The sequence below is a fragment of the Homo sapiens genome, chromosome 2 (assembly GCF_000001405.40).
Source record: "Homo sapiens chromosome 2, GRCh38.p14 Primary Assembly".
NCBI lineage: Eukaryota > Metazoa > Chordata > Mammalia > Primates > Hominidae > Homo > Homo sapiens.
In genome coordinates this window covers 58,301,002-58,311,055 of record NC_000002.12, presented here as the reverse complement: position 1 = coordinate 58,311,055, position 10,054 = coordinate 58,301,002, and positions in this window count along the sequence as shown.

Here is a 10,054-nt window from a genome sequence, read left to right as displayed (position 1 = left end):
ATTAACTGGCAATAGCAAAGAATGACTTGTGAATGGGTAGCCCTCGAACCAGAATAGGATTAGAGATGCCCCCAGCACAGCCTCATAGTCAAAGGACATTTATGAACAGAGAAAGGAAAGTGACATACAGAAAAAAATGGAAGTCAGATACAGAAACATTAGATTGGTTACAGCTCAGCCTTTGCCTTATTTGAATACAGTTTGAACAGTTGGCCACATTTGATTGGCCAAAACTCAATCAAAAGAGTAGGTTATAGTCTGTTTACACAGTCCGTTAGGTTACAGTTCACTATGGATGGAGAAACTTTTAGGCTGTACTTAAAATATGTAAGGAAGGATGCTTCGTTCTCATGGCTAACGTTGGGGCACAGAGGCCAATATTTCAAAGTAAGGTGGTTTGACATTCCGAGTACTTCTTTTTGTAGAAATGAAGTCCCACTGTTGCTCATGCTGGTCTTGAACTCCTGGCTTCAAGCCATCCTTCCTGCCTCAGCCTCCCAAAGTGCTAGGATTACAGGAGTGGGCCACAGCACCCACCTCTGAGCAATTTTGAATAAAAGGAAATTGGAAGACCTTCGAAGCTGCCTCAAACCAACAACTTTCTTTCTCTTGGTGTCCCTCCATTTCCCCAAGTTCAGGAAGGGGAACTGTCTAACCGTTCCCTTATCTGACTGATGAAAACTTCTTCCAAAAGAAATGAAATTCTCTTAAGTTCCCCTGCTTAGGAATCTCATTAAATAATCTCATAGAATAAGACAGATAAAAGTCATCACCACACCCAGAGAGACTTTTAATTTATTCTTCCTAGAGCAGTTCCAAGAGATTACTTGAGGCTTTATCTTCATAATAAGACAACTTTTGTTCACAGTGCAGTTCTACCCCTTACCTTCCCATAACTTATTGGTCCCATTCGGCTTTTAAAGAGAATCATTTACAAACTATTTTCTGCTCTTTGGGCCTGTTCATTTTCCCTAAAAATCATTTACAACCCCTCAAAGTGCCTACATTTTCCCTACCTCCCTTTCCCCTATGAAGATGGTATATAAGCTTCAAGCATCTGACCTTTCTTTGATTTTCATATCTCGTATGGATCTCTTGCTTATGCACATTCATAAATTTGTGTGCCTTTTCTCCTGCTAATTTGAGAATTGTCAGTTTGTTTGAATCTTCAAGGTTTGAACTTCACTACACTCCCATTGTACCTATGCTCACCTTCCTTCTAGTAACTGTCACATATCGTTTGGTCAGTTTTTATAGTTTGCCTCTTTGTGATATAAATTTCTTGAGGACAGGAATTTTGTCTTGTCTGCAAAGTATTCTCATGATCTTTTGCCTTGCAAAAAGTAGATGCCCGAAAAGCAGTTGTTGAATGAATGAATGAATGAATGAATGAAGTTCTTGAGCACGTTGGAGAAAAAAGTTCCAGAAATAGATGTCATGATAAATGAAAACAGCATGTGCAGTAAGTGGAGAGCTGTTGCTTGAATGGAAACCCAGGAGGCCTATCTATGACAGTGCAGTATCATATACTCCCTTATCATATAAACTACCCTGTCATTCCTGCCTTCAGTGTCTCAGGAGCCTGGGAGGCAAGTATAAGCCACACTTCAACCAATCTCTGATACTCATCTCCAGTTGACCTATTTCAAAGGAGGGACAATGGGAACCACCTTCTCACCCTTAGAAAGGTTAAGGGTCATAGATTTGGCTAGTAAAAGATGGAGCTCCAACTCTTTCCCTAGAAATAATAATACATATTTCACATTTTTCTGATTTTTAATAAGCTCCTCTTTTTAAACCTCATATTATTTTCCTTTCTACACATACAGAAATGTGCAATAAATTAAGTCATTAACAGTATATGAAACAGAGCTAGAAAGAATCCTATAAATCATATTATCTGCCCCCTTATACTAAAAGTGATTATTCTTCTACTATAAGAAAAACATCATCTACATCAACTCATTTACTCTGAACAATCACTCTCCTTGTAATTGGTGTGACTTCTCCAAAGTTATAAGTAGGTACCCTTTGGTCTCACAAAAGCCTTAGGAGCAAGTAAATGCACTTCTCAGGGCTATACATTTCTGGCAATGTGGCACTTTCCTCCCTTGGATTGGGATTTAAAAGAAGGAAATGTCTCTCCCTATGCTCCCCAACCAACGAAAGGCAGGAGAAAAAAAAAGCCATGTTTGACAGATTTTTATGGGCTCACCCTGGCCTTGCATCCACTGAATGAGCTATTTGGGTCAGCCATCTAACTTGAGGAATACAGACCAAATGTTACCCTGTCATTCCTGCCTTCATTGTCTCAGGAGCCTGGGAGGCAAGTGTAAGCCACCACTTTAACCAGCCTCTGAAACTCATTTCCAGTTGACCTGTTTCAGGGGAGGAACAATGGGAACCACCTTTTCACCCTTAACCACATCACCTCCTGGAGTCAAATACAGCCAAGCACCTCTCCCAGAATAGAGATGTGGCCATAATGGCCAGTTTTTATTCTTACTGTTGTTTTGTTTTGTTCTTGATTTTGCTTATTGTCTCATGTTCCTTTCCCCACTGTTACTACAACTCCAACCCAGTCATAGAGTGTGGTGGCCAGAGCAAAATGTTTTAATCCAGCATAAATCAAACAAAGTGATCATGGGTGGATATGAGTAATCACAGAAGGAAGAAACAAATACCTAAAATTAAGCCTTGAAGGGTAAATGTATATTATTGAAAAAGACAACTCGGGAAGGCAACATTATGCTCAAAACCCAGTAGCAAATTTCATTACCACTCGTGACTAGATTACAATGATTGTAAATAAATGTTACTTCTTAATCAGCAAAAACATGCATTTTCTTTGTGTGTTTTATTTCTGCCCTTCAAGTTCCTCTGTTTTTTTGCATTTAATATACAATATCTATTAATACCAAATAGATTGTTATAACTGTGTAACATTTGCATATATTCACTGGTTTTTATGGGCACCTGGGCTTTCTCAACACAGTGGTGAGGAGAATTTATAGCAGAATCTGAAAATGAAAACAGGCATATTTGTTATACTTTCAAAAGTGTAGTATACATGGTTGTACTTATCTGCAGTGGAAAAAAGATTAAAACACAAGAAGTTTTTTCTGATAAAGTCTACCTTTGTATTATGGAAACAACAGAAAAATAATTTTTTAAATTGGTTGAATAAAATTGAATGTACTGTTTTTATTTGAAAATCTAGGTGTGATTATTGGTGATTTTCAGGAAAAAACAAAAGCTTTCTATACTTTTTATATAAGAAAATTACTATTCTATATTCTCTAAAATATAAACATCGTAACTGATAAGAGTTTTGAAAAAAAGAATTAAACAATGGACCTAAGTCATAGACAATATTATTATCTGAAGGCAGCCTAATTATTTATTATAGACTGCAATCATATTAACTTTAATTCAAGTCTCCCTATATCATTTTTAATGTAAGTTTAATGCAAAGAACAGCAGTTATTACAGTATAAGTTATTAAAGTTAATAAAACCAATAAAAGCTGGATTTGTATTTCAGACTTAAAAAACCCAAATTTATATGGAGAAAGTCATATAAAGCGATGACACAGCTATACCCCTGTTATCAGAAAACAACACAATTGAATTGTACTGGACCAGCTCAAGTTGTCATATCATGTTGCTATTGTTTCTTTTGAAATAAATAGCTTTATTTTTCATGAGCCAATGTGACACTCCAGTGCAAAAATTATATTCCATGCCATGGCAGCAGAGAAGAGAATAGATGTCACCACTCAACTAAACCTGAAAAATCCTTTGGAATTCATAATTATTGAACCCACATACTCTGCACCTTGTTCACGGGCCACTCTGCATCCTCTGCAGCCAAATTTATAAATATCTTCACTGATAAACCAATAGAAATGCCCATCCAGAAAAATAAAGGTCTTTCTTAAGAAGCACGGGAATACAGATCGATTTTGCCAGGAGCAACACAACTGCACTCATCATAAACATTTACTTATAACCAATTAATCTGTACTTTTGCCACAGTTAAAATGCAGCTTTAAAAAAATAGCTCCTCTCCTTTATATATAAAAGTACAGTACAGAAATCTTACAATGCACCATTCATAATAATAATTTCATTTACCTGTTTTTCTGTTAATACCTCCTCTTGATTTTTCTCATTTTCTCCCCAGCATCTTATGGCTTTTCTTTTGTAAATTGCATTATAGAACCTTACAGTGAGGGCATGATAATAAAGAAAAACAAAACTAATGGGAAAAAATTATAATTAAGCAATCCATGCCACATTTCTGCATGAAGCATTGGAGGTAATTTACAATATTGGTCATACTTGTAGGAAAAGCTTTTGTTGTTCTAAGTTAAATTTTTATGCTTATGAACTATTGAACATAGACTGCACTCACAATTATTTCCTTATAATTTAACTATACCACGTGTCCTGAAGTGAAGATAAAAATAAAAAATAAAAATCAAGGTAAATTGATCATGGGAATACTTTTTTCTCACTGAAAAATGGAAAAATACATTTACTTTTTTGTGGCCTCTAAGTAAATTGTTATTTTCCTTCTTATTTTGTATGCAGTTTTGTGTATACATATTTGTATATATAGTACACACATTTATTGTGTATATATTATATATATACACTTGTGTGTATATATGTATGTGTGTGGGGGTGTATGTGTATATGTGTGTGTGCATATATATATTATATATATGTCCATTTTCATACTGCTATGAAGAAATACCTGAGACTGAGTAATTTATTAAAAAAATGAGGTTTAATGGACTCACAGTTCCGCATAACTAGGGAGGCCTCACAATCATGGTGGAAGGCAAAGGAGGAGGAAAGTCATGTCTTTCATGGCAGCAGGCTAGACAGCGGGTGTAGGAGAATTGTCCTTTATAAAACCATCAGATTTCATGAGACTTATTCACTATTACAAGAACACTGTGGGAAAAACTTGCCTCCATGATTCAATTACCTTCCAACCCCTCCCTCCCATGACACATGGGGATTATGGGAGCTACAATTCAAGATGAGATTTGGGTGGGGACACAGCCAAACCATATCATTTCACCCCAGCCCCTCCCAAATCTTATGTTCTCATATTTCAAAACCAATCATGCCTTCCCAACAGTCCCCAGTTCTTAACTCATTTCAGCATTAACTCAGAAGTCCACAGTCCAAGGTCTCATCTGAGATAAGGCAAGTCCCTTCTGCCTATGAGCCTATAAAATCCAAAGCAAGTTAGTTACTTCCTAGATACAATGGAGACACAGGCATTGGGTAAATACATCCATCTCAAATGGGAGAAATTGGCCAAAACGAAGGGGCTACAGGCCCCATGCAAGTCCAAAATTCAGTGGGGCAGTCAAATCTTAAAGTTCCCAAATGATCTTTTTTGACTCCATGTCTCACATCCAGGTCACACTGATGCAAAGGCCTTGGACATGGCCTTGGACAGCTCCACCCCTGTGGCTTTGCAGGATGCAGTTCCCCTTTCAGCTGCTTCCACGGGTGGCCTTGAGTGTCTGCAGCTTTTTCAGGTGCATGCTACAAGCTGTTGGTGGATCTACCATTCTGGAGTCTGGAGTCTGGAAGATGGTGATCCTCTTCTCACAGCTTCACTAGGCAGTGCCTCAGTGGGGAATCTGTGTTGGGGCTCCCACTCCACATTTCCCTACTGCACTGCCCTAGCCAAAGTTCTCCAATGAGGGCTCCTGCAGCACATCTCTCCCTGGACAACCAGGTGTTTCCAAACATCCTCTGAAATCTAGGTGGAGGTTCCCAAACCTCAATTCTTGATTTCTGTGCACCTGCAGGACCAACACCATGTGGAAGCTGCCAAGGCTTGGTTGGGTCTTGCACCCTCTGAAGCCAAGGCATGAGCTCTGTGTTGGCCCCTTTTAGCCACAGCCATGGCTGGAGTGGCTGGGATGCAGGGCACCAACTCCTAAGGCTGCACACAGCAGGGGGCCCTGGACTCAGCCTAGGAAACCATTTTTCCCTCTGAGGACTCTGAGCCAGTGATGGGAGGGGCTGATGAGAAGTTATCTGACATGTCCTGGAGACATTTTCCCCATTGTCTTGGTGATTAACATTTGGCTCCTTGTTACTTATGCAAATTCCTGAAGCTGGCTTGAATTTCTCCCCAGAAAATGGGGTTTTCTTTTCTATGGCATTGTCAGGCTGCAAATTTTCCAAACTTTTATGCTCTGCTGCCTCTTGAATGCTTTGTTGCTTAGAAGTTTCTTCCTCCAGATACCCTAAATCATCTCTCTCAAGTTCAAAGTTCCACAGATCTCTAGGGCAAAGGCAATATGGGAGCTGCCAGTCTCTTTGCATACCAAGAGTGACCTTTAATCCAGTTCCCAGCAAGTTTCTCATCTTCATCTGAAACCATCTCAGCCTGGACCTTATTGTTCATATCACTATCAGCATTTTGGTCAAAGCCATTCAACAAGTCTCTAAGAAGTTCCAAACTTTCCCACATTTTCCTGTCTTCTTCTGAGCCCTCCAATCTGTTCCAACCTCTGCCTGTTACCCAGTTCCAAAGTTGCTTCCACATTTTCGGGTAACTGAATAACGATATCCCACTCTACCAGTACCAATTTACCAAATTAGTCCATTTTCATACTGCTATGAAGAAATACCGGAGACTGGGTAACTTATAGAGAAAAAGAGGTTTAATGGACTCACAGTTCCATATGGCTGGGGAGGCCTCATAATCATGGTGGAAGGCAAAGGAGGAGGAAAGGCATGTCTTACATGGCAGCAGGCAAGAGAGCATGTGTACGGGAACTGCCCTTTATAAAACCATCGGATCTTATGATACTTTTTCACTATCATGAGAACAGCACAGGAAAAACCCACCTCCGTGATTCAGTTACCTCCCACCAGGTCCCTCCCACCATATATGGGGATTATGGGAGCTACAATTCAAGATGGGATTTGGGTGTGGACACAGCCAAACCATATCTATATTTATCTCTCTGTCTATCTATCTATACATATGTGTGTAGTATCTCGGGCAGGGAAGACTATAAGACAAAATGTATTAAGTACTGGGTTCATATTCATAGTATACTTTCTCTGCATAAATTTCTAAGGAACTTTTAAAAGGTTAATGATGAAAGTATGATCACTTTTTATTTCCGTATTTTAGAGATTAGAGCTAGGCTGGCACAGTGTCCACTTCTTCTTGATAGTAGCATCCCAATTCTTTGCTATCTCCCATACCTCATTTAACTTATTATTTGTGGTACTTGGAAGCCAACATGTGGGCCTATAGATCATGTCAGGTAAATCAAAATCAAACTCTTCATGAAATTATAATCTCAAGCAGACTGTCACCAGAATAGAAAATAGTTAGAACTGACTTCTCCTAATCACAAGACCCTAGAAAAATTGCTCACTAGTTCCTGTGTACCAGATTCACATATTACCATGGGATCTGACTTTGTAAGGCTTGATAGTTATGCCTTTCCTCCAGTTCCATGAGCTGCCTTATAAACTTCCAATAAATTTCTAATGTTTTCTTTTGGCTTAAACTAGCCAGAATACCTTTCTGTTTCATGCTCCCAAAGAACCCTAACAGAAATTGCAATATTTTCTACTCTGTGTACAAGTCACTGGGCTGCTCTAGAAAATTATTCTTTTCCAATATGTAGAAAAGGCTTTCAGAAGTGTAGATATGATCTAATAAATAAAGCCTCAGTCAAAAGTTATGAATTCCCATTCTGATTTTGTGTCATTAATTCTGGACCTTTTTCAAATCATTTTATATCCCTGAGCATCAGTGTTGTTATGGGTAAAATAGAGACATGTGTTCTATTTAGTGATGTTGAGGATTAATTGAAAAATTAATTACACTATTTGAAGATCTTTAGAAATTGTGAAATTCATCCAACTGTTAGCTGCTATTAGTAACTCCTTCACTCCAGCTCTGCCACTTATGGGCTATGGAACCACTTACATTTCTATGCCTCAGCACCTTCATCTATCAAATGAAAACAACAACCTCAGAATTGTTATGTTATTAAATAATTTAATAAGTGTAAAATGCTTGGTACAAAGTAAGTGCTATAAAACTGTTACCTGTTATTAACTGGAATATTATTGTTCCAGTGTAAATTCACAAAAACCTACATATGTGTGTTTCAACATAGTATCTGCCTTTTTACCCCCTCCTTCTCTTTTTTCTCTCAATTATAGATTATTTTTTAATAAGCCACAGTAGGGGCATTCAGATTGGAAAGGAAGAAATAAAACTATTTTTATTTGCAGATGACATGGTATTGTGTATAGAAAATCTTAAGAAACCTACTAAAAATTATTAGAACTAATAAATGAGTTCCATAGGTTGCCAGATATAAGATCAATATACAAAAATCAGTTGTATTTCTAAAAACTTGTAATGAACTATATGAAAATGGAATTTAAAAAAACAATTCCATTTAAGATAGTACCAAAAAGCATGAAATACTTGCAAATACATTTAACAAAAAATGTGCAAACCACATACTCCAAAAACTATAGAAGATTGTTGGAACAAACTAAAGAAGATCTAAGCAAATGGAAACAGACCCCATATATATAAATTGGAAGGAAGGTTTAATACTACTAAGATAGTAATACTCCCAATACAAATCTACAGATTCAGCACAATTCCTATCAAAATCTCAGTGGATTTCCTTGTACAACTTAGCAAGCTGATTCTAAAATGTCCATGGAACTGCAAGAGACCCAAATTAGCGAAAACAATCTTGAAAAAGAAGAACCAAGTTAGAGGACATAAAACTCATTACAAAGCCACAGTTATCTAGAGAGTGTGGTACTGGCACAATGATAAACATATAGATCAATGGAATGGAATTGAGAGTCCAGAAATAAATCTATGTGCCAACGGTCAACTGATTTTTAGCAAGGGTCCCAGGACCATTTAATAGGGAAAAATTGCCTTTTTGACAAATGTTGCTGGGGCAAATGACCACATGCAAAAGAATAAGGGTGGAACCTTACCTCACACTGTATACAAACATCAATACAAATGGGTCAAAGACCTAAATGTAAGAGCTAAAACTACAAAACTATTAAAAGAAAACATAGATGTAAATCTTAATGACTTCAGATTTGGCAGTGGATTCTTCGATATAACAAAAATTTTGATGAAGTCCAATCTATTTTTGCTATTATTGTGCAAGCAAATAATTTTGGACTTCATCAAAATTAAAAACTTTAGTTCTTCAAAGGACACTACAAAAAGGTGAAAAGACCACCCATAGAATGGAGGAACATATTTACAAATCATATATCTGATAAGAAGCTTGTAACTAGAATATACAAAGAACTCTTACAACTCAGTAATAAAAAGATAAACAACCAAATTAAAAATGGACAAGCAATCTGAATTTTGATTTCTCTGAAGGAGTTATACAAATAGCCAATAAGCGCATAAAAAGATGTCATTATTAGTCACTGGGGAAGTGCAAATTGAAACCACAATGAGATACCACATCACCCTTAGTAGGATGACTAGAATCAAAAAGTCAGATAATAACAAGTGTTGGCTAAGATATAGAAAAATTGCTGGTGGGATGTTAAATTGTAGATCCACTTTGGAAAACAGTCTAGCAGTTTCTCAGTTAAACATTGAGTTACCATAAAATACAGGAATTCCACTCCTAGTTAAATACCCAAGATAAATAAAACATATATCCATACTAAAGCTTGTATACAAGTGTTTATAGCAGCATTATTTATAATGGTCAAAAGGTTCCCACCAATTCATGAATAAACAAATGTAGTATGTCTATACAATGAAATATTATTTGGCCATAAAAAGTAATGATGCATTGACACATGCTACAACACAGATGGACCTTGAAAACATTAATGGTTTCTTGGGGATGAGGAAGCTAAGAGGGATTTGGGGTCATATCTAGAGGGATGCAGTTTGAGGTGATAAGAATGTTCTAAAGTTAGCTGTGGTATCTGTGTGTATACTAAAAACAATTAACCTTGTACATTAAGTGGGT